At 37.3% G+C, this 26,947-nt stretch overlaps 1 protein-coding gene across 5 annotated transcripts in view; it reads right to left on the bottom strand.

Annotated features, from left to right (window-relative positions):
- Positions 1-26,947, bottom strand: part of UBE2E2 (ubiquitin conjugating enzyme E2 E2) — a 388,828-nt gene that overhangs the window by 121,655 nt on the left and 240,226 nt on the right. The window contains exon 4 of one of the 5 annotated variants that reach the window (XM_047448845.1): positions 20,283-20,413. The exons of the other annotated variants lie outside the window; for them this stretch is intronic. Coding sequence (XP_047304801.1) covers positions 20,326-20,413 — 88 coding nt within the window. The 3' untranslated portion in view covers positions 20,283-20,325. Of the gene's footprint in view, positions 1-20,282; positions 20,414-26,947 lie in introns of those variants that run through there. 5 annotated transcript variants of the gene reach the window in all.

The following is a 26,947-nucleotide window of genomic DNA, read 5'->3' as shown; positions in this document are numbered from 1 at the left end:
TCTCAAGGAAGCAAGGAGGGAAGTGCCATACTCAGAACTTTGGCCAACAGAGTGGGAAAAGGAGGGGCACAGTAACAGTATCTCTTTTGAAACTCTACAAGACCCAATTTTAGGACCTCCTGGTGGATCCTAATGTATTAATTGCGGCCTCCATATCTGATTGCTGGTAAACCTGGCATTCTAAGGAAATAGTTCATTACTGCAATGCTCTTAAGTCTTCCCATGTGCCAGACAGATAACCAGCTTCCTTTACCTAAAGACTCACATTAGTATTACTGGAGCCTTGAAATATTTGCCAACATGGTTGCTTGTCAGATAAACAAGGCATTGTAAACCCTTATTCAGACACTTGCCAGAAAAAGACCATATTCAAGATTTCTATGCATAGAAAGGCTGTGAAGATGAAAGACAAGAAAACAATTTGTGCTTATTTTAGAAATCAGAGGACTTCAAATACAAAACCCCAATTGGCAATAGATTACATTCTTCTCTTCAACAGGCAGAATCCTTCACTGAGAAATGCAGTGAATCAATGTTATATTCTCTTTGAACTTGTTTAATCATGTATAATATTAAGGAGAAGTCAAACCTGATGTATGCATTATAAAATATAGCTCTTCTTCTACCAGTGAACTGTCGGTCAACTTGGCAGGTTCAACTCTGCTTTATTTATTACTGAGATACTTTATCATTTAAGCATGCAATATAGGGAGGTTCTTACTGGGCAAAATGAAACATCAAAACACAGGAGGAAGATGCCATAGATATCCACTGGTATTACTATGAAGGTAAAGCCATAGTATGAATAATACATATTTTACTAGTACCATATTTAATTTAGAGGCATCAATTTTTCTCTATTTGTTACAACTGTTTCCTGTAGATAAGTTAGGAATCCCTAGTGAGCTTAAAAAGAACAATATCCATTCTTTATCTATTATCTTCTCTCTGAGATGACTGATGTAGAATGTTGGAACTTGTTATGGATAGAATGTTTGTGTCCCCCACAAATTGATATGTTTAAATCCTAACAACAATATGATGAAAGGAAACTTGGAGAGCTTTCTTATTCTCTTTTTGCCATGAGAGGATCCAGTGATAAGTTGGTAGTCTGTAACCCAGAACAGAGAACCCACCAGAACCCAACCATGCCAGTTCCCTGATCTTGTACATCCAGCCTCCAAAACTGTGAGAGGTAACTTTCTATTGTTTACAATCCACTCAGTCCATGGTACTTTGTTATACCTGCCCAAAACTAAGAGCTCAAGGGGATTTCAGTGATTGGCTAACTAAAGTCCCTCATTTCTACAATGAGGTCACATAAGATCCACAGAGTTTTTTTGATAAATAAATCTAACATTTAGTATATGCCCACAATATACCAGGCATCGACACACACAAGTTCTAATTAATCCTAACAGCCTTGTGAGATGGATTTTGTCACGCTAAATTTAGAGATGAGGGAAATCAAGAGATGCATGACTTGTTCAAGAAGATGCATGCAGTTATTTAGTTCCAGAGCCAAGATTTCAATCTTCAGAGTCCAAGTCTGTTGTACTTATTAGTTGTTTGGTTTGTTCTCCCCATCTCCTGCACCCTGCAATTTTACATTTAATGTTAGGTGACTTGCCTAATGTCATGCAAGTAGAGAAACAGAATTTGAATCTAGGTCTCACATAAGGGATTTAGTGTATTTCCTCTTCTTTTCTCCATTACATTTCCATTACTGGGTAGTTAGTATTGTACTCGATATAGTATAACTATACCTAAACTAAATGTATCAGAATGTTTTGGGCTTTTATTTTAAGACCACTGCTTTCCCATTTTTTCAATGCATCTGATTTAACATCTTTTTTGTTTCTGGCACTATGCCAAGCAATTGTAGATAATATGGGAAAAGTATAGGTACAGTCTTCTTTGCTCTTGTGTACATAGATTTTATTGGAGAAATAAGATTTGAATCAAGGAAGTAGAGAAAAACAACTGCTGAAGTGTGTGCTAACAATTGAAAGTCCAGAGAAAACAACAGTAAAGACTGAAATAAAGGGGGAAATAGGATGCAGAACTGGCAGGAAAGGAGGTGGGCAGGAGAAATGACTTAAAAATACACAGTGAATAGCAAAATCCTGAATGGTCCATGTGGAGCAAGAATAAGGAGGCTCTCTAGGGCAAGTTCAAGGAAAGAAGGCTACTGATATGGTTTGGTTGTGTCCCCACCCAAATGTCATGTTTAATTGTAATCCTCAGTGTTGGAGGAGGGACCTGGTGGGAGATGACTGAATCATGGGGGCAGACTTCCCCCTTCCTGTCCTTGTGATAGAGTTCTAATAAGATATGGTTGTTTGAAAGTTTGTAGCACCTCCCACTTCACTGTCTCTCTCCTGCAGGCCATGTGAAGATGTGCCTCCTTCCCCTTCACCTTCTGCCATGATTGTAAGTTTCCTGAGGCCTCCCCAGAAGCAGAAGCCTGTACAGCTCACAAAACTGTGAGCATAATTAAAACTTTTTCTTATAAATTACCCAGTCTCAGGTAGTTCTTTATAGCAGTGTGAGAACGTACTAATATAGCTACTTAGAAGTATAGTGAGGCTATAAATGGTGGGGTTACATAACCATAGATCACAGTGCAGCTATAGACTGAAAAAAAACAAAACTAAGAGCTACCATCCATTTATTCTGTCCAACACTGCAGGAACCCTTTTATAGTATCCTACATTAATCTTGATTGCAACCCCATGAAGTAAGGATTGTTAGGCCCATGTTCAGTTTGTGTAACTGAGGCTCAGTCAGGCGCCAATTTGCTCAAAGTCATAGAGCAGTGAGAAGTCGAGACCCAGTATTCTAAACCAAGCGAGTTGGATTCCAAAATTCACATTGTTTCTAGCAGCAGTTTTTCAATGAAAACCAACAGATTAAACAACAAAAAACTTTCCCAAAGCACGAATCTTAGCCATTCAAGTTAAATTGTTTTCAAACACAACCACAAAGTAAAAAACACACTTAAAAGATCAAAAGTCAAGAAAACCTTCAAGTCTAGGTTTCTCATGCAGTCAAAGTCAGAAGTTATAAACACAGGTAGTACTGTATATTACCTGATAAACAGTTACTTTGAAATCCTAATGAAACATACATGTCATATTTAAGAGAGGTTTACATATTCCTTGTTGCCAACTTTACTTCCTAAATAAATACCTACTTTTTTGGGGGAGAAACAGCTTTGGGGTTTTACCTCAGACTTTTCCATAGCAAGATCTCATTTAAACTACCAAGAAAAATAATTGTTCTTTTGCTTTCACCTTGCAAACTCATCACAGTAAATTCTGCAGAGCCTCTCCCATTGTGAAGGAGCTGGCAAATAATGAATATGTCATTATAAGAAAAATAAGGAAATAAGACTCTGGGACTGCCGAGTGCGGTGGCTCATGCCTGTAATCCCAGCACTGTGGGAGGCTGAGGTGGGTGGATCACAAGGTCAGGGGTTCGAGACCAGCCTGGCCAATATGGTGAAACCCTGTCTCTACTAAAAATACAAAAAATTAGCTGAGGGTGGTGGTGGGTGCCTGTAGTCCAAGCTACTCAGGAGGCTGAGGCAGGAGAATCGCTTGAACCCAGGAGGCGGAGGTTGCAGTGAACTGAGATTGCACCGTTGCACTCCAGCCTGGGCGATAGAGTGAGACTCTGTCTCAAAAACAAAAAACAAAAACAAAAACAAAAACAAAACAGACTCTGGGACTACTCCTTATTTTGAAGGAATAAGGCTGTTTTGAAGCTGGACAAAATATTCTGCAAGGGACAAAATATTCCCTAATAAGCTCACTATAACAAAAGTAATAGCCAATCCAAAGTTTTCATTACAGAATGCCACAAAGGCAGGATGATCAAGACTCTGTCATACAGGACGCTGCACTGTAGACAACTAGTGCTGAGATCATCATGCGTATTTCAGGCCACTGTTTTCCACATCTCACTTATATGTGTACCTGCCTATTCAGGTACTAACTGAAGGGTTCTTCATTTGACATTTCTTTTAACTTTTTTAAAAATAAAATACCTAGTTTAACCTCAACTTTAAAAAATCATGAAGTCATGGCTTTGGTGTGCTGGCTGTATACTTTTCCTAACAGAAAATTAACATTTATAATTATAATTTTTAAAAATGTTTATATTGTACTACCAGTAATCATTCTGCATACTTCTGGTGACAATGTGCCACATTTTGGATGATATCTTTATAGGTGGCATCCTAATACAAGAATGGTTAAAAAGCATTCCTCAATAACCGTGTTAATTATTAGGGGAAGCTACCCAACTCTAAAGAATGTGTACCTAGGCCCATAAATGCAGACTATTGCTCTCAGGCTAGAAACTTAGTCAAAAAATAATTTTTGTGAGAATGTGAGGCATACTATATAACTCTGAGTTATAGTTAAACAAATACACTTTTCCTTTGCTATCTACTGTTCAGCAGGGCTTCTGTAGGAATTCAATTAAAATGGCTTAATTCTTTAAACATGTGGTGATACTTATCATTAGTTAAGGAAAAAAGCCAGTTATGCTCAAGCTGGGAAGCTGAAGGATGAGTGGGATTTAGAGATACAGGGTTCTGTAGATCTGATCAGGGAAGTGGCAAAAAGAGAAGGTAGAAGTTAGCAGCTGCTTCTTCCAGTACTTCTTATTCTGGCTAATGAATTTCCAATTTGGCCACTGTGTAACCACTGGTGGTCTCTGAGAGGCCAGTCATTCACTTGCATTCAAGTCAGGTAATGAATCTGTCAGTACTCTTAATTAGCAAAGGCTATTGGTCCCTTTTATGGCTAAAAGTTACGGTACCAAGTTTTAAAACTATTTTATGACAATAGGTCTTTTAGAAGTTATGATTTGGGTGAGGGGGTGCTTTAATATGGGATAAGCTATATTATACCTAGTGTGATTCCAATTGCCTACTTTGGGGGCCAGGAGAGCTGCCTGGGCTTTGGAATAACACAGCTCTGAGTTCAGTCTTCATTTGGCCACTTATTAGCTGTGTGGTTTTAGATAATCCTTTAAGCAATTCTACTTCAGTTCCCTCAATGAAGCTACTAACATTACCTACCTCAAAGGATTGTTGGGAAGATTAAATGATATGACATGTAGAAATAAGGGTTGATTAGCAGAAATAATATCTAAAATAACAATAAGAAGTCAATAAATGCTAGCTTATCAGCTACATGAAGCAACATCTCTTTGACACAAAAATTAAGATGAAAATTTGTGTGTCAATGAAAGCTCAGGTTACTTCTTTGCTTTTCAAAGGATGTTGGGTAAATACTCTTCGAAGATACACATGTGTAGCTGCAGCCTAGAGTCTTCTACATTGCTAATTTTATGATTTGTATTTAGGACTTCACAGACATTTGAAAAACACTTAGTAATTAAAGAAGCATTTTCTCACATTATCATCTCATTTGATTCCCAATGCAAACACTAAGAAGTAAGCAGTACAAGAACTGTTCACATTTTGTAGATGAGGAAACTGAAGTTCAGAAAGGTTATTTAATTATCCCATAATTACAGTAACTAGAGAAGTATTTTCTCACTACACCAACTGTGCCCTCATAACTATTTGCTTCACATTTTAAGATAAAGAAATAGGTACTACATAATTAAATTTTGATTTAAGGTCACAGTTAATTTATTTTGTCTTTGAATTTAAGTACAACTTGACACAGTATTTTCCAGCACAGTAAAATAAAGTTTCTAAATGAACTCTTAAAGCATAGCTTTATATATATATATCTCCCCTATTCTTATTAGGTTTTAGAATAGTATCCTGTATTTGGAAGGTCCTAAAAATAAATCTAAAAAATTATGTCAATGGTTGATATTATGCAGATACTAAGCAGACATCCTTTCTATACTGCAACCAATATAGTTTACTGCTTGAGGGTAGTTAATCTGGAGCACTGCAATTACACTACAGTTTAACTAAAGTATTTCCTATAAAGGTAAGTTACTGGTTTTGTCTCCTTAGATAAAACTAGTAAGTACATTTAAATAGTAGATTAAACAGCCAATCTACCGTAAAATACTTTGACAATACTGTTGATTTCGGGGGTCAGGTTTTGGCTTACCCCTTCAAAGACTGTTCTCACTACTATTAAAGATGGTTATTAATTTGCGCTGTTACCAGGCTAAGCTCCTCTGTCAAAGTCGTTGATTTTCTGCTAAATATAAGCCAGGGTTTTATGACCATTAGAAGTGGAAAACAGCCACAACAGGGATATGCAAACATGCTATTTTGAAATGGAGCCCAATGTCACAGTTCATATGTTCTGTATATTTTGAACATTTAAGAACATTATGATCTTTAACATTAAAAGGGTTTAATGAAAATGACTGGCATTAATTCCTCTAATTCCTTTGAGTGGAAGACTGAGGACCATGCTATATTACAGTAAATGACAATCCTTAGGCATGAATGGAGTTTAGAACTGTATTGGAATAAATTTTAAATGGGCTCAATCTCAAACATATTTGATAAGGCATCCAATGGTTACCACATTACACTGTGTGGTAATTAAGGAGAAATAATACACTTTATGTACTATTTTTAAAAAGCCAGCCAAACATTTTAGAGAAACAATGGTGAGGGGAGAGAACAACTTAATGAGATCAAGAAGCTACTTTGAGGCCCTCTTTGCAAGATTTCCAGCATCTGGGAACCCAAGAAGTCAGGTCATCTCAAGTCAAAGAGGGTCCCACAGGCTAAATGTTCTGTGGGACCTGGGGTAATGGTTATGACTACTCCTAGTTACTAGGAGTCAATATATGGTAGAAACTGAATCTTGGACCTCTCATTGCTTATAGTAAAGCAGTATTTTCTTTGACGTGAGAAGTTAAACTGACCTGGATATTCAGGTTACCGGCCCAGATTCCTCTTCCTAATTCCAAGCTGCCTGGAATTTTGCAAATTAATATGATTTAAATAAAAAACATTCCTAGGGTGCAGCCACTAATCATTCCCACCTTATTGTTGTTTGGTTTAGTTATCATCTTTTTTTTTCTTTTAACACCCTTACTAGAGTATACTCTGAAAGAATTAATGTTTTAAGGGGGAAAAAGAGATAATTTTAAGTAAGGGGCACTTACAAGTAAAGGCAAGTTTTTCATTAATGCAACATTCAGTAAATGCAACATTTACTGATCTCCTTTTAGCGTGGATATAAAGTCTCACCCATAAGGCCTTAACCATCTAATTTGTAATATGAACCTATTGTCATAATACCATTGCTGCCAACATTTCTACAGTGTCTACTATATGGTAGGCACTGTTTAATGCATTTTACATTCCAGTTGGGATGGGGCACCATTACAAACCATTCGAATTTTACAGACAAGGAAACTAAGGCACAGAGTGGTTAACTAACTTGCCCAAAGCCACAATGCTGATAAGTGGGGTTCCAGAGCCCCTGATGGTTACAGTTACCCCCTGACGTAAAAGAACTGTAACTCTTCTATCAGATGTGGAGGATCATCAGGAGAATAAGAGATAATGAGGGATGCAAAAGATGAGACGGGAAGGCATCAAAAGTATTTTTTTTCACATTGAAATCTGACGTAGAATTGGTCTGGTCCTTTCTTCAGCCTTGTAGCACCCAGGTGTCACTTAATCTTGTCCTGTTCCTAATGTCACTTACCTACTCTGTCTGCCTAGACTGGTGCCTAGCAAAGAGGAGTAGGGAAAGGACTGTGCTGGGGTGAAGAAACATGAGGATTCAGGGTTCGTCGTGAATAGCAAAGATGTGAAAAGCTGTACTTTTCATTACACATTATCATACACCTGTGAAGACTGATGAACACTATCAATAAAGGACTAAGTAGAGATGCACTGGGCTTTTAAAGTAAATGCAGTAATTTCTAAAATCCGTTACCACATAATGAGAATTATTAACATTTCAAAACTCCTCAATTGTCTTGGTAGCTTGAAAATACTACTTCATTTCCAAAATGGTAACAAGTGTTCTTGATACTAGCTATACACTGGGCAACAAAGGCATATATTCCTATAAGAATCTTAGCAATATTAAGAACAGCAGATAAAGTACAGAAAGTGTTAGGCAATGCAGACATCAAGTTAAAATTTATACAATAGTGACAGCATTGGGGAGGCATTTTTGAAAATATATTTCATACTGAATGATATTAACCTTATATTATTAAAAATGAGAAATATGCTACAATTCATTCAGAATAAATTCCATAGTGGGATATTTATGACAAATCACTTTAGCTCACCCCCAAGTTTACAATGCAACCAGAATTGGATGAAATTAGTTTGTTATACAAAAAACCCTATACAGTACATGAAAATCACATTTAATATAAATGTCACATCATATAGTCATATTACTCTTGAAGTAACAGTTTTATTGGAATAGTTTGAGTTTTCAGAACATGCAATGTAATCAAGACATTTCAAGCAGAATATGTTAACTTCATATTCAAAATGTAACAAGTATGCAATAGCATAATCCTGGGAAATACACTGTGTTCATCTAATACTGGAGATATCTGTCTTAGAGACCTTATGAAAAAACATGAGCTTTTGTGTCTTATTGCTTCAACTAAAATGTATTATAAATGCAACTCAGGATATTTTATCTACATTAAAAAAAACCTGTATAAAGGAAATCATACTAATGGTAAATAGAAAATTGCTGGGAGAACAATGGTCTAGAAGTAGGTATCTATTTAAATGATTTGACTATTATGAATTTATTAACATAATTTCCTAATATGAATAAATAAAAATCCTTATTTTTTTTTCAAATATGTATGAGTCAAGAGTCAAGAATAGGATTCCTCTACCACACTGCTGAACAGCTCTAAGACCTGATACTCATTTATTGGTCAGTTTTAATTTAATAAACTAAAGACAAAGATAAGTTACCTAGCAAACTTGAGGCAAGAGCTTGGCTAACGGTGGCAAGATGGAGCACCACACATGGTGTTAATAAAACACATGATTTGTGGCTGCCTTTTAAGTACTATGACTAGTTATTTGTGGGTTTGGGGTTACATCTATATGAGGTCACCGAGACTTTCTCCAACTTTTCTAAATATGCCACACATTTTAAGAAAGCAACTTTGGGGAATATGGTGGACGGTGTGTAAATTATTTCTACTTAAAGTCTAACAGAGGCAGTGCAGTGCTGTGGAAACACATGAAATTTAGTGCTTATACACTGGGGTTCTCCCATTCTACCAATCACTAGTGTGAAGTCTGTTTCCTTATCTATAAAATGGAAATAAGAAAACCTTACTGGTTTTCTGCAGAAATCAAAAATATCTTGATTTAAAACAGTATTGTAAGGATTCTCAGAACCTAAAACAGCAGGCTATGTTCATATAAACATACATACATGGCCAAAAGGTGAATTAAATATAATTTCTTAAAAATCAATAAAATAACAATGATAAAACATTTAATTTTGTTCACACTTCTGCTTCTTCTTGGAATGTCCTTCACCACTTTCAATTCCTCCTGCCTTGGCATGCCCAAATCTTCATCCTTTAAGGCCAAGCTCAAAAACCACCTCTTTCAGGAACACTCCCATGACAACCCAAAAGAAAATAATCTCTCCTTTCTGTAATTACCAAAGAGCTTTAAATTATGCTAATTGAATGCATAACTTTCCACTTTATATTATCGGTATTTATATACATATTGTAACTCCTCTGATTATATATCAATATAGAGTCTACCTGCTACTGCTGTTCCTATCAATAGAGGGCTTATTACACACCAAAAATCATGCTAAGAGCCTCGCATGTAACCCATAATGTAGGTGCCATTTCCATTTTACATATGAGGAAACAGAACAGAGGTTGTAGAGCCAGAATTTGAGCCTGAGTACTAAGCAATAACACTTCTGTGATAAGCATTCTGTATGGTAGGCAAAAAGCGCATTTTCACAAGCTCACTTAAGGTAGTTGTGATTTGGCAGAGATGTGAATGAGGTCTTCTGAATTTAACTTCAGTGTTCTCTGAAATGCTTTATCTTATATCTCTGGTGTTCATACTAACTCCAATTCTGTGCCAGAGGACCTCTGGGAGGGCAGCTCATTGGCTCAAGGTGCCAACCAGATGCATCTGGTCCAAATAATAAAAATAACTTGAAAGTGTCATCTACTGTGTTGCTGCTGCCCAGCACTGCCATGTACACAGCCGGCTTAGTCACTTAATCTTCTTGCCAGGAATTCTTCATTTGGAAAACAGAGACAAGCACTCGACCCCTACCCAAACTCACAGGATTTGAAATTAAGGAATGGGGAAAAATACTTTTAGTTAACCATAAGAGAACTGTTGGCATAAGTACATTTTGTAATTTTTTTTCATTCCCCTTTCAGCATTTAAAACTAACACAAATATTTAAATTCATTACACAGAAAGTATGCTAAGAAAAGGGGGCTTCATTCTGGCCTGCGATTTTACAGATCACAGAAATTCTAAGGAATATGCAATTAAGACAGGCAAAATAGCTCTCTACACCAGCTGGTGGACCTTCTCCAGAAACTTCCATAACAACTTAATATGTCCCGAGGCATGAATAATTTGTTCACATGCTGAGTTTGTATGGCAGAACTCAGAGCAATAGAAAGGTTATTACAGAGGTCCTGGAGGTGTTTATATAGCCCTCCTACTGTTCAACAGCCTTTGTTTCTTCTCCTTTTTACGTTCTGGATAGTTTAAATGTTTCATAAAGGTGTCTGGATTTGTAAAAACATTATGGTCCTGTTACTACTCACTTATTTTCTCATGATTACAAGTTGGAGAAGAGCTAAAAGTTCTCAAAAAAGCAGTTTTTAATAACTGTTGAACTATTTTTGGGTGTAATTCAACTATATGTATCAGTAACAAGTTTTGTTCTTATTATTTCTCATCTCTTTTAGTCACATCTGCCTTGTCAATGAGAAGAATGTTTATGAAATTAAAAAGTTCATTTTGTTGAATCAGCTACAAAAATATCTGAACCATAAAAAAATTCCAAAAACTATCTCTTAGGAGCCAAAGGGTAGCCCTTATAGAATTTTCCATGGATAGATTTGCTTACTTAAAGTATTTGGCAGGCTTTGAAAACATAACAGAGGTCAATAATTTGTGACCACAGAAGATCTGTGTTTAGTTTAAATCTGTATGGGCACATAATTAAGGCAGAAAATTGAACACAAATGGAGATCTAGTTCAAACCCATTTGTAAAAAATGAGATGGAATCAGAATTATCAAATCAGAATGCACACATGATATAGGAACCTCATGATGACCTTACTTTCTGATTTACTGCCATTTACAGGCATGCCGTGTTTTATTGCCCTTTGTTTTACGGTGCTTCTTAGATATTGCATTTTTTTGTTTTTCAAATTGAAGATATGTGACAATCAGGTGTCAAGAAAGTCCATCAGCACCATTTTCCAGCAGTACATGCTCACTTTATGTCTCTGTGTCTCATTTTGGTAATTACTGCACTAATTCAAACTTTTTCATTAGTATGAGATCTGTGAACAGTGATCTCTGGCCAGGCGCGGTGGCTCACACCTGTAATCCTAGCACTTTGGGAGGCCGAGGTGGGCGGATCACGAGGTCAGGAGATTGAGACCATCCTGGCTAACACAGTAAAACCCCATCTCTACTAAAAATACAAAAAATTAGCCCAGCGTGGTGATGGGCGCCTGTGGTCCCAGCTACTCGGGAGGCTGAGGCAGGAGCATGGTGTGAACCCGGCAGGCGGAGCTTGCAGTGAGCTGAGATGGCGCCACTGCACTCCAGCCTGGGCGATAGAGACTCCGTCTCAAACAACAACAACCACCACCACCACCACCACCACCACCACCACCACCAGCGATCTCTCTGATCAGTGATTGTTGATGTTAGAATCTTAATTGTTTTGGGGCACCATGAACCACACCCATAGAAGATGGCAAACTCTCGATACATGTTGTGTGACTGCTCCACTGACTGGCCACCTTCTACTCTCTCCCCTTCTCCTTGGGCCTTCCTGTTCCCTGCGACGCAACAATACTGAAATTAGGTCTACAATAGCCTCTAAGTGTTCAAATGAAAGGAAGAATCACATCTCTCTCATTTTAAATCAAAAGCTAGCAATGATGAAGCCTATGAAGAAGCCATGCTGACAGCCCAGACAAGCAGAAAACTAGACCTCTTGTGCAAAACAGTTAGCCAAGTTGTGAATGCAAAAGAGAAGTTCTTGCATGAAATTAAAAGTGCTACTTCAGTGAACACATGAATGATAAGAAAGTGAAAGAGCTTTATTGCTGATATGAAGAAAGTTTTAGTGGTCTGAATAGATCAAACCAGCCACATCACTCCTTCAAGCCAAAACCTAATCCAGCGCAAGGCTGTAACTAACTTCAATTCTGCGAAGGCTAAGAGAGTAAGAAAACTGCAGAAGAAAAGCTGGAAGCTATAGAGGTTTAGCTCATGAGACACAAAGGAAAAAGCAGTCTTCCTAACATAAAAGTGGAATGTGGGAGTTTGAGACCAGCCTGGGCAACACAGGGAGATCCCATCTCTACATAAAATAGAAGAAGTAGCTGGATATGGTGGTGAATGCCTGTAGTCCAAGTTACCTGAGAGGCTGAGGAGCTTGAGCCTGGGAGGTTGAGGCTGCAGTGAGCTGTGATCACGCCACTGCACTCCAGCCTTGGTGACAGAGCAAGACCCTACCTCCAAAAAACAAAAAAAAGTGCAAGATGAAGCAGCAGCAGCTGATGGAGAAGCTGCAGCAAGTTATCCAGAATATCTAGCTAAGATCACTGATGAAGGTGGCTATTTAAGTCTAGATTTTCAGTGCAGACAAAATGTAGCTTAGGGTCCCTGGGTTTTTGGGTATCCACTGTGAAAAAGCACTCACTTGTAAGTGTTATACCTTGAGCTTTTGTTATTTCAAAAAAACTTCCAGGAAGAAGCTTAGCCCCAGAAAAACCAGTTGGATCTAGAGATGCGTCAGTTGCAGATGAACTTTGGCAAACTCCCTTCAATGCATACTAAAATCCCTGCCCAGAGAGAAGCTTAGCCCCCATTTTCTATACACGCAGCATATATAGAAGCATCATCAGGGACTGCTCGGGTGCTGCCTTTACTCCACCTCAACATACAATGACTCAGTTAACCAGCCCAATAAAAGCTTGTTTTCACCATTGTTCAGGAAGGTTTTGCTTTGGGAACTATCCTCAGCATTCTTCTTATTACAAGTAATAAAATCTCCTTGCTGAATCCTCGATTATGGTAAATGGACTGTCATCCACCAAGCAATCAAACCCACCCATTGTGTGGGTAACAAACAGCCTTCTTTTGGAAGAAGAGGCCATCTAGGACTTTCCGAGCTAGAGAGGAGAAGTCAGCTCCTGGCTTCAAAGCTTCAAAGGACAGGCTGACCCTCTTGTTAGGGGCTAATGCAGATGGTGACATTTAAGTTGAAGCCAATGCTCACTTACTAATCCAAAAATCCTAGGGCCTTAAATAATTATGCTAAATCAACTTTACCTACGCTATATAAAGCTGCGATGACAGCACACTTGTTTACTGCACAGTTTACTGAATATTTTTAAAGTCCACTGTTGAGACCTACTGTTCAAAAACAAGATTCTCTTCAAAACACTACTGCTCACTGACAATGCACCTGGTCACCGAAGAGCTCTGGTGGAGATGTATAAGGAGATGAATGTTGCTTTCATACCTGCTAACTCAACAACCATTCTGTAGCCCATAAACCAAAGAGTAATTTTGACTTTCAAGTGTTATTATTGAAGAAATACATTTTGTAAGGCAATAGCTCCCATTCGCAGTGATTCCTCTGATGGATCTGGGCAAAGTCAACTGAAAATCTTGTGGAATGGATTCACCATTCTAGACGCCATTAAGAACATTCGTGATCATGAGATGAGGTCAAAATATCAAGTTGATAGGAGCTTGATAGAAGTTGATTCCAACTCTCATGGATGATTTGAGGGGTTTGATTTCAATGGAGGAAGTAACTGCAAAGATGGTAGAAATAGCAAGAGAACTAGAATTATAAGTGGAGCCTAAAGATATTGATTTGCTGCAATCTTATGATCAAACTTGAACAAATGAAGAGTTGCTTCTTAGGAATAAGCAAAGAAAGTGATTACTTAAGATGGAATCTACTCCTGGTAAAGATGCTATGAACACTGTTGCAATGTCAACAAAGGATTCAGAATATTACATAATATCAGTTGATAAAGCCGTGGCAGAGTTTGAGAGGACTGACTCCAATTTTGAAAGAAGTTACATTGTGGGTAAAATACTGCCAAACAACTGTTCATGCTACAGAGAAATCTTTTGTGAAAGGATGAGTCAACTGATGCAACAAATTTCATCGTTGTTTTATTGTAAGAAATTACCACAGCTACTCCAGCCTTCAGCAACCACCACCTTGATCAGTGAGCAGCCATCCACATCAAGGAAAGACCCTTCACCAGCAAAAAGATTATGACTCCCTAAAGGCTCAGATGATCGTTAGGATCTTTCAGTAATAAAGTTTTCTTATTTTTCTTTTTAAGAGACAGGGTCTCGCTCTGTTGCTTACACTGGAGTGCAGTGGCGTGATCCCAGCTCATAGCAGCCTTGAACTCCTGGGCTCAAGTGATCCTCCGCCTAAGCTGAAAACTTAAAAAATTAGCCCGGCTAATTTTTTGTAGAAATGGGGGTCTCATTATGTTGACCAGGCTGGTCTTGAACTCCTAGCCTTAAGTGATCCTCCTGCATTTGCCTCCCAAAGTGCTGGGATTACAGGAATGAGCCACTGTGCTTAGCCCAATAATGTACTTGTTATTAAGGTATATGCATTGTCCTCTTTAGACATAAAGTCACTGCACACTTAATTGGCTACAATACAGTATAAACATAATTTTTGGATGCACTGGGAAACCAAAAAATTTGTGTGACTCACTGTGTTGCAACATCTGCTTTATTGCTGTGGTCTCGAGCCGAACCTGCAGTATCTCTGAGGTTCCTGTAATTCACTTGTGTGGTAGACACAGAGGGCATTTCCTATTGACAGGTAGTCAAGCTGCTTAATTATAGATTGTTGATAGTTCTGCTCCATCTATTTACCTCGCATGCAGGGAAGCCTTTGGAAAGCTAAACTTTTCAGGTCTCTCAGAAAGAGAAGAGAGCAAAATCTGCATTAAAACTATTCTTGTCATGCAGAGACCTGGGTTAGGCAGGAAGACATGATAATCCAGTGAATTCTGCTTAGGGATCAAGTCCCCACACTTGGCTTCAATGACTTTTCATAATCTCGGATACACCCATAAAGAAACAAAATACTGCAAAACGTAAGGTAAACAGACAAAAAAAATTCCTAACATTTTCTATGCAAAGTTCAAATTTTGAGTTTAGCTTCAGCTAAATTAGGAAGTACACTGTACAACACTTTACCAGGAGGTAGTCTTTTATTTTAGTGCTTGAATTTGTATGCTATCAAAAAATAGTATGGCATCTTGCCAAACTTGCACTTAGTTCAAACAAAACTTTAAAAGAGCTGTTATTCTAGGTGCATATTCACGTATTATTTCTCATATAGGCATACCCAGACATCACACACGGATGGAAGAAAGCTGTTGGGCTATCCCATTAGCAGGATGAAACACAGTCTGTGTTATATGAGGTATTTCTTGTACTGTAAGCAAAACTTCTCTTAGCTTTTCTGGCAATTTATTCCATAATTTTTGTCTTAAAGTTCTTTATGAGACTAAAGATACAAGGTAGCAGATGAGACTTAAATCAGACTTCAGCAGGTAGATGGAAAGCGCTCAGACATGAGACCTCCCTTAAAGGTCTTACCCAACTCTCAGCTTTTAAAATATGGATTGCATTCATGGGTGGCACCTTTTAAAATAAACCATTCTTTTTCAAAGCGTTTTGTTCTTTTAAAATAATAAGCTGTTTCAAGTAGATTTTCTACTGTAAGTTAATAACTAATAAACACATGGTATAAAGTTATTACATTTAAGTACTGTTAAAATTTAAAAAATCAGTTTATAAAGTATTAAAATAATTTAAAGAGCAACTAATGGGGATCTAAAAATTCATTAGCTTCTTAAAAATTCAAACAGAACAAAACTGACAAAGGTAAAACAAGTCTCCTCTTATTCCTCAAGTTCTAGGAGTCTATGATTCTAACAAATTAAATACTTACATTTAGCAACATAATCTTACACAATATGCAAATATCTCAGAATGCTGCCTCCCTTCTGTAAAATTAAAGAGTATAGAAAACTATACCTTTAAGTTATTTTATAGCAGACATTCTAGGTGTTTACTACTAGACGTGTATCTTCTTTAAAAGGTAACTAGCACCACTATAATAAGCTCAGAAAAAGTTTCTTCCCCTATCAAGATATTTGTAACATCTTCACAATGAAGAGATGCTTCCTTGGCCAATGTACAAATACATTTTGAAAGGAAAGCTGTAATACACTGCTCTACAAGAAAGCTCTGTTGGTTGCAGAGGGTTAGGAAAATCTATAATGACAAATGTATTCACAGTTTGTTTTATAAAGTCGTTAATATGCAATATCTTGATTTATATTTTATTAAGATCATCAATGATTCCCTTTCCAGATTCAGAAATATATAAAAAGGGATTTTAAAATATCCTCAAACCACTGTTGTAAGCACCTCAGTTCTAGTCTTCAAAGATGCATACAATTTTTAAATGAGAAGTGAAATATGTGGAAAGAGAAAGTAGGCTAAAACTGTAGTCTTTGTTTTTCATTTGTTAATACTTTGGGTATATATTCTGTTTAACTTCCCTTAAGACATATTCATGCCAACTTTCTTTTTAAAAAACAGGTTAAAGATATAAAGTATTTTTTTCTTTCCTCACCACAAAAAAAAACAGAAACAAATGGAGAGCCTCCAAACATATTGTTTCCAACGGAAATGGATGAATTAAAAAATAGTTGCTCATTTTAACAAAAAATTCAATATTTTAAATAAGTTGAAAACACCACAACTACGTTGATTTAACTGACATATTTAAAATGGTATATATTAAACCATTAGGATACTCTACCAGAAGTAGCACTTGCCAGTTATAGGAAGGCACATTCAAACTTCGGTGCCTAAGCCTTAAGAATACTTATTATTTCCCCACTGCCAAATGCTCCAAAATATTTTACCTATCATTTACTTTGAAGAGCAGTTATTTTTCTAAGGATACTATTAAAAATGGGACATAGAGTCTAAGCAGTATTAGTGCACTTATGGGAAAAACAGGATGAAATACCAAAAAGTTGGCCTGTTCCAGGAAATCCAGAATACATAGTTGCTATTTGAGTAAAGGGGTGTGCCAGCGTGCTGTGGAGAACAGAACTCAAGAGACGGCATAAAAAGAACTTGTCCATCCTAACTCTGTTAGATCATAGGCATTTTGTAGTAAATTATGGTCCTTCAAGTCTTTTTCCTCCCTACTGCCCTCACCAGACCTCCTGACATACCCTCCTTTTCACAGAATGATAACATTAAAATGTCTTTCTCCCATCAGGGATAAAGTTGTTCTCATCTTTGACCAACACAGAATTATGCAGTAGCAACTCAACCATTTGGGTAACAGTTATCACCTAGCCTAATAAAGATTATAACTAGGATCAAGTTACAGTGTTATTCTAAATCAACAATCTGAATATAAATTTTAACTGGTCAGTGTGCACTAGAATTCCCATATTTTATAAACACGACTTTTACACTAAACTTTCTAAAGTCTCTCAAAAATTTTAATATAGATTCAAAACATACATTCTTATCAAGAAAACACCATGTTCCAAATTCAAATACTTTGGAAGAGTCAATGGAGGACTGTCAGCTGGTTCAAAAGTCTACTCACTAACAGAAAAAAAAAAGATTCTGTATAAAAATTGCACCTGTTTATGATTCACATTTTCTTAAAGAACTTCCTACTGTGTCTCTTGCTGACAAGTAAATGTAGGACCTTAAATCCACACAGTAGCTAGATATATCGTGCTGTTGAAAGTGTGAATTCACCAGTGGATATAGAACATTCATTAAATGAGGATATGAACTAACATATTCCAGCTGCAACAATTTTTGAACTATGCAAGTAACTCCATCCTTTTTCTTCCCCACTTTCAGCCAAAGAAATACTCTCCAAAGCCCAGAAAAACATCTCAAAGAATTGTTGAAAACTCACCACCAACCTTTTCCATATTTAGATTTTAACAATTAAATCTCTATAATTTAATTTCCAGTAAGAATAACATTAACAGGTTGATGGTAAAACAACCCTGTAATAATTCAATAAAAATGATAAAAATTTATCTTTATGAGATAAGCAACAACATCCATCCCTCTTACCCTTTAGGTACTGCTCTATTTTTTTCAAACTTGGCCACTATCTTAGGGAAGCATAAATATATTTTTTAAAACTCCACCAACATAGAGATTTCTTGTTGAGAGACTATGAACATATTCCTCGCTCATAAAAATAACTAACGATTGTATGAGAATCAAGTTTGAATTACTGAAATAGAAATAAAGCATACCTCTATACTTTTCATGTTGTAAAAGTACTTTATTACCAGGATATTAGCTTATTTTGGATTTCTTATAGCAAAAAGTACATCTTACTACACTGATAGCAGAGAGACAAAATCTTACATTACATAATCAAGACTCCTTAAGAGATAACACGGTATAGTCGTCAGAAGCGCTCACTGAAGACCTAAATTTCCTGGCTATCAATTGCAGACCTGCCACACCGATCAGCTCAGCAACCCTGCTCAAATTACTCTTTATTCCATGCCTCAGCCTCCTCATCTGTAAAATTATAAGTATTGCTCAGGATGTTTCGAGGATGCCATGTAATGAGACTTAGGTAAGTACTACCTCTATTACTGATCTAAGAATTCTTATTTTAGATGCATATACAGCTAAATTAATGAATCTAAATGGATAGCAGGACAAATTTGACATGAGCAATTTTTCAAAAAAAATTATTTATTTGCTTTTAAGAGGAGAGGCTATGTTGCTCAGGCTAAACTCAAACTCCTGGGCTCAACGGATCCTCCCACCTCAGCCTCCAATACAAGTGTGCACCACCGTGCCCAGTTAATAAACATTTAAAAAGTTTTACAATAGTTGCAGATTTACAGAAAAATTGCAAAGATAGTACAAAAAGTTCCCAAATCTTCCAAGAAGTTTCTCTTATTAACATTTTATGATGTCAGCAACTTTTAGTGATAGCTCAATAGTGGAAAGTCATTTATTCTCAGCCAGTAAAACTACAAATTTAATTAATCTGTAATTTCAGTAACCCACCTACTGGAATAAAACTTTGAAACTTGTAAATACCATATTATAATTAGTAAGTGCTAAATTTATTGTTTTAGTAATAGCACTGCACATACTATACTAATGTAAGGTGTTTTATATTCTCATTAAAAAGAAATAAAATGAAAAAGTTATTTTAATGTGTGTAATTACTTCTATATACATATTAAGTTGCAAATTAAAACGTAAAGTAGAAAATAAAGCCGGAATATTTAAATAGATACTTCATAATTTTAAAATTAAATAAATTTTCTTAATATCATAAGGTAACTAAAACTACATAAGGGCAATGTTGGTGAATACATTTTGATATCAGAATTCTTAATTTATTTCCTCACTTTTAAAGAATCATATTTCTAGTAATATAATACAAGGCAAATTTTTCTGAGATGATAATGAAAGAGGTAAAGAGGTGTATCTATAGCAATGTTAAAAGAGGCACACAGCATTAAATATAGACATGAACTGCCCCATTTAGTAGCCACTAGCCACATGTAGCAAAATTAATTAAAATTAATTAAAATTAAATTCTTCAGTTGTACTAGAACCACACGTCAAGGACTCAGTAGCCACATGAGGTTAGTGTTACAATGTTGGAAGCACAGAGAGAGAACATTTCCATCAGTGCAGAAAGTTGTACTGAAAAGTACTGCTCTAGATATGAACAGATTGTTTCACTAATCACACTTAACTGAGTTCTACCCAATAGTCCTAACCTCTTTATCCAAACAAATTCTTTTTATTAAACTTGCAAAAAAGAAGCAAGGGGATAAAAGCAGGCTTTTATCTCATTTTCTGAAATGTTTAAGGGATGAAAAGGAAGACGGCCTGGCCAATTCCCATAACAGACAAATGGCCACCAATAAATGAAAAAATTGCTGAGGTCCTCAAAGCCATTGCTGTACTCACGTGGCAGGGTAGCAGTGGGCCCAGTGGCCAGGAGGATGCCTCTTCAGGGGTACATTTCCTCACTAGGGGGAGGGGTCCCCATGTGGGGCCTCCGCACTGGTGGGACCTTCCCCATTATAGGGCTGGGGTTTCTGCCAGTGAAAAATGGGAAATTTCATTGTTAGCCAGCTTTAAAACTTTTCCCCGTTGAGATATTAAAAACACTGCTTACTGGATTATTTAGTTAATTCAAAACAGAATTATATGAGATAAGTTTTTAGAACTGATGAATCATGATGTGTGATTGATTCTGTCTGCCCCTGAGTCCCCTAGGAAAAAATCACCTGCAGTATTACCAGAACTGTCATAAGAATTTTCAATCTTATTAAATGCTGAAAAGATTAGATTGAACCAGATAATGGTTTTTCCAATCAGGATAAAAAATAAGGATAATTGTCTTTTAATTATCAGTAACAGACAGTGGTGAAAAGAGCAAATGTAATCAGATATAACAAAAACCTCACCAAGTTCCACAGCTTCTCATTCTTACCCCATCCGAATTTTTAAAATCAGAGTTGAAAATAAGAAGCAAATATTTAAATTCCATCCAGTTACTTCTTGTGAACATTCTGAGATTTGGTACTAAAATAATGATGATGTAATGGTCAATGGAAACAAAGATCTGTTGTTTTATTCTCCAAAAAATTTTTAAGAAATCCATGTAAGCAGTCTGTTGATATCTAAAAATGTGGCTAACAATAAAAATCCCCCTTACACTTACCAAATGTTTTCACTTCTACAAAATGAGCATTTTCATTGTTTGGGCTGCAGCACACACAGTTCAATGGAAAGTGATAGGTGTATTCCTACTGACGTTCTGTAATGCCATAAGAGTTACCCTAAATTTTTCCAGTTTAAACTCTTTCTGCTAGTATACTTACAATGGCATGCCATAGTATACCTTTGGGCTGTTAGGTAAGAGGGCAATTCAATAGAACTCTATGGATGATGGATATTACATTTCTAAAAGCCATTGAAAAACCAGAAAATATAAGTTTGTGGTGAACTCCAAGAAAGGAGACAGAAGAAGTAAACAGATGGAACTGTGCACTAAAATTTGTGACATTATTTTTCCCACCAGGTACCAGAGATCCTGGATCTGCCTGACTTAATCTCCTAATCTCTGGAGTTGCAGAGGGCCCCTTTAATCCCTTGTAACTACGCTCCCAAAGAGCAATTCAGAGGTCAGCTTACTACAAACTGCACTTTTCTGTCTACATTACAAGAAAGATGAGGATAAAGAAAGGAAACATAACCAGGAAAAGGTATTTTATACAAAATTAGGTAACACATTTGAATTACAAATTATCACCCTCCAATTGGTGAGAGAAATTTATTTTAAATAGAAAATATCTAGATCCCAAGTATTTAATGTTACTGTAAAAGTTGAAATACTTTCACGACAGGAACTAATATCATTCCCAATTAGCTTCCAATCAGAATCCTCATATTAGGTCATGTATTAAAAAATACTAACTTAGTAGACTATTCCTAATAGTATTCCAAATCTCCATAACATGGGTAAGTTAGGCTTACCTGCTGCTAGTTGTGAAAATTAAATTTTTGACACTATCAGTGTGAAAAGTAGTTCCAGAGTATATGGTCAAACAAAAACATTGCCAAAGATGTAAGAATAAAGATTTACATCAAACATCAAAAACAGAAATGCCTTTCAGGAGTTGACCTAAGTTCCTAGGGGTGGAACTGGAAGGCTTCGTGGCAAGAGCTTCATTCTGAAAAGATTACGGGGTCACTAACCTCGACAGACTCAGTCAAAATTAAACTCTGTTAGACTTCCTGTCTACCCTAAAAGACCCTGATATCCACAGATAAAAACTTCTTCACAACTGGCTTATCCATTAGAAAAAAAAATACTGCCTTTAATTAAAGAGATAATTTTTAAAAACAGAAACTTACTCCTCTGAACATTGATTTTATATTTACTTTGCTATACTGTCAAAGTTTCCTAATAACCTTTCTTCCTCACATGCAGCTGCAAGGCTGTTTTGGCCTGCAGAAAGGAATACATTTTTCTAATTCACACAAAATGCCATGAATGTTAATAAAGGCTCTGAAGACAACCATGTAATACCATATTTCATTGACTATAAAATAAGGTGCACCATCACTTTACAAACCACTGAGAAAAGCTCACTAAATTAGGCTGTAATATAGTGATTTCTTATCACACAAAAATTATATTACTCTTCTTGAAAGGGGTCTCTTGATAAGTGTAACAGTCATGTTTGCTATATATCACACTTGAGCACAAAGAAAGGATTACATGAACAAAAAAAGAATTACTAAAACTTCTTCACACTTGGAGTTTAATTCTTCTGAATCATTTTTCAGCTCAGAGATAATTGTTTTTCCACAAAATGTAGTCCTTTGTGCCATCAAGAGCATTGTTGAGGTAGTGTATCTTGAAATTTCTCTCCACAACTGCCCCTGGAATTTTCTTCCAAACTGCTGACATTCTTTTTGCAAGATTTTTAAAGAATGCATAACTACAACTAACTCACAATAACTACTTGTCCCAAAGTAATTGATATCAGAAAGGTTAAAATATGTAAAAATAGGCTTCTTAGAACTGATGAGATACAATAACAGGGCTCCTGATGTTGGGACAAAATGCTTTTCTTTCACTTCCTTTCACCCATCTAACTATTCATTCCTCAAATAGTTATTAATCACCTAATATGTGACACAGGCACCAAGGGACAGGGCAGTGCACAAACAGGTAATGACACTACTCTCAGGGAACTTACATAGAGACTGGCATTAATTAAATAAACACAGAAAATTAATATAAAACTACTACTGTTGTAAGTACTGAAAAAAAGATGCACATCATTTAGTAACATATGGCTGATCTGACCTAGTCAGGGAAATCAGATAATACCTAAGGAAAGCAGGGAGAATGAAATGTGTCAGGCAGAGGAAACAGCATGTAAGGACTGTTTTGCATGGATAACTGCACTGGGGAAAGGGAAATCCCAAACTTTTTGAGGCCTATTACAATTGAGTTCTAAACTACACCAATACTGGGGGACCTGAAATGCCAGCACGCTCTTCTGGTCAGAGTGAGGGTTTATGGAGGCCAATTAATTAATAAAGTTTTGACCCAAGTCTCGGGAACTACAGAGAAGAGCACTATCAAAGACTTAAAGATGCAGGGGTGGTGGTCCTCACCATATTCTCTTTCTATACCTTTTATGACCCTACGGATAAAAAAAAAAAAAAAAAAAAACCAAACAGACGGATAATGAATAACTGTAACCTTAAACTGGTAGAATCCCCAGTAGTAACTGGCATGCCAGATATGGTATCAATTTGGTACTCAGCTACTGATATGGTGAATGCTTTCTTCTCAGTCCCTATCAGTAGGGAAGATGAAAGGCAGGTAACTTTCACAATGGCAAAGAGACCATAATATCCTTCCCCAGGGCAATGTTAACTCTTACGATCTCACTCAAAATTCAGTCAGCCGGGATATCTTCACATTCCATTATATTCATGATAGCATACTAACTGCATCTGGTTAGCACAAAATGGAAAGTACCCTAGCCAGCTTAAGTAAAATACACATAGCAGACATTTCACAAAAATTAAGGGTTATGGGCACACACTGCCAAACTTTTTAAGGAGTTCAGGGCTCCAGGCCATGCTGAGAACATCCTCTTTAAGGTAAACAAGTTTTTGCATCTCTCAAATCTACTGTTAAGAAAAAGGTGGACCTTCTTTGATCCTGGAGGCTGTATATTTATATGCAGTACTTTTAACACCGTTTTGATCCATTTATCAGAGACCCCGAAGGATGCCAGTTTCAAGAGTGACCGAGTGTGATAAAGAAGACTCTGTAGCAGGTCCCAGCTATGGTGCATCTGTGACCAATGGATCTCATGGTACAAGACCTATTTTTTTTCTCTGTTTAAGAAATGGGGTCTCTCTCTGTTCCCCCAGGCTGAAGACCTATCATTGACGGATAAAAATGCTGTGGAGTCTCTGGCAAGCACCAAAAGAGAAGTCACAATGCTGATCCTTGGGGTTCAGTGGCAGAGAAGAACTTTCTGCTAGAAAAACAAATCCTAGTATGTTACAGGGCCCTAAGAGAATTTGCATGCCTCACTATGTGCCAACAAATAAGTCTGTGACTTAAAGTACCCACTGAGTAGCAAGACGGGCAGAGAAACAACCCGTTGTATGATGGAAATGGTATATTTGGGATTAGGCACAGGCACATTCAGGAGGCATGAAAAAATTACATTCACAGGTAACTCAGACTCCCACATCACTAACGCCTTTCTCCTTCATGACCAACTGTCAAGGCAAAAAGGATTTCCGATCTAGCCAAATATGAACTGCTGTTGCACTGCAGCCTTATTCAGGAGCAGACCTAAAGAACTGTGGTAAAAGAAGTTTGGCAGATGAGAACAACCGGAGCAGTATATGTGGTGGTCATCCATTTCAAATGGAGGGAGAAATGACCTGAGCTACAGATATACTCTGATTCATTGGCAGTGGTAAATGGTGTCTGGCTGTTTGATCAGGGGCCTAGAAAACAACAGTGAAAGATGATGTGATAAGGAGGTCTGGAAAAATGAATTGGGCACAAATCAGGGGCATTTGTGTGTCTCACAATAACTACCAGGAGGTATCTACCAAAATGGAGCATGTCAACATGTGTGTTGTCTAATATCAACAATGAGGTGAATAGGATACTTTATTCTATGGCTGTCAGCCAGCCTTCCACTTGGGCCACCACAGAGTTGACATAGTGAGCCCATAATAGAGTGGCCAAGGTGCTTCCTCTCACCAATGTTGAAAAGCTATTGCTAAATGCGTAAACTGCCAATGAAAGAGACTGATGACAACCACTCAATATGACATCATTACTCAAGGAAACCGATCACTTGGCATAAGATTACATGGGAGTGGGGAGGTAGAGGGAGTAAAAGAGTTGGTGGCAGGGTGGCAATGATTTGTCTTTACAGAATTAATACCTAATCTGAACATGGATTTAGTTCCAGCTCCCAATACCTCTGCTACCACCACCATTCCAGGGCTTATAAAATAACTGATCTATCAACATGGCATCCCACCAAACACTGTCTTAGGCCCAAAGTACCCATCTTATAACTAAAGAAGTATGACAATGGGCACATCCCCTTAGAATCCATTTGCTTTACCGTACACTCCATTCACAAATAACAGCTGGCCCAATAGGTAGGCAGAATAGCCTATTAAAAAATATCAGCTGAAGAGACATCTTGAAGATGACTTCCTGCAGTGTTGGAGCACTGCCCTCCAGGGTATGGTATATGCATATGCATTGAAGCAATGGCCATTACAGGGTGCTGTGTTATAAACAGCTTCAATACTTAGGTCTGGGAACTGAAGGATGACAGTAGGGTTGACTTTGTGAAACTTGTGTTTTCTACCCATCCTACTTTCATCTCTACTAAGGTAGAGGTTCTGACTTCCAGATGGGGTTAAGGGGTGATTGTTTCCACCAGTGGACATGTAAGAGTTCCAATAAACTTGAAGATCTGACTATACTGCTGGGATACTTTGAATTCCTCAAGCCAGTACATCAGTAGAAAAAAGGGAGTCAGGTTACTGCTAGGAATATTCAATCTGGACCACCACAAGAAGCAAAGACTGCAGCTACACAATGGGGGAAGAAGAAATATGTCCAGAACTTGAGAGATTCACTGGGGTATCTCGTGGTGCTTCCATAGCCAGCGGTTACAATAAATGGGATATTTCAACAACCATGGATCAACAACAGCAAGGCAACTAAGGGCTCAGACATTTGAGGGACATAAGTCATATTTTATTTCAGCAGGCAAGCAACACAAGCTGGCAAAAAAAAAAAAAAAAACAAAACTGGTGAAGAAAACCTAAAATGAGTGATAGAAGATGTGTATCAATTACTGCCTCACGGTCAGCTGCAGCAGAAGGGACTGTAATTTGTTTCTCTAACTGTCCCGTCTAAAGTCTTTCGGACAGTGTGGCAGGGCTCCACCTTGAAGGGGATTCAGTTACTGATTGCACATAACCTCTGATCTCAGGGATGAAGTGAAGGCATCTTATTCTCACAAAAATGGAGGCCTCATATCGTAGTATGGAAGCTACGTATAATGTAGAGCCTGAATGGATCTCAGTGGTTAAAGGGGTGTATTATACTGGGCATCTTTTATGCATCATTCAGATCTTCTCAACCTTACTTGTATCTTAGTCCAGCTGTCTAACCAGCACCAATTTCACATAGGTACATCTGACAGTTCCCTGCCTCATGCCTCGGGGGGCAGTTCTTGCCTTGTACTCTATGGCATCTGCGTTGACGCTGCTTTGGATTCCCCACTTGCATACCCCCATGGAGGAATTAATATACTGAAAGATGAATCTTTGGCCAATGGGAGACAGAAACTAATGAAAAAATTCTTCCTCCTTTCTTCTCTCACAAGGTACAGTCTTAAAGCACAGTTTATGAGAGTTTTCAGGAACGAACCTACAGGACTGAGTGGTGGCAGGTACCACAATAGCTTATCCATGTATTGACTCTCCACCCCTACCAAACCATATTCTCCTTGTTTCTCACTCTACTTCTTGGGATTATGTTC

The sequence above is a fragment of the Homo sapiens genome, chromosome 3, assembly GCF_000001405.40.
Source record: "Homo sapiens chromosome 3, GRCh38.p14 Primary Assembly".
In the NCBI taxonomy this organism is placed as follows: domain Eukaryota; kingdom Metazoa; phylum Chordata; class Mammalia; order Primates; family Hominidae; genus Homo; species Homo sapiens.
This window is presented reverse-complemented; position numbering and strand designations above follow the sequence as displayed.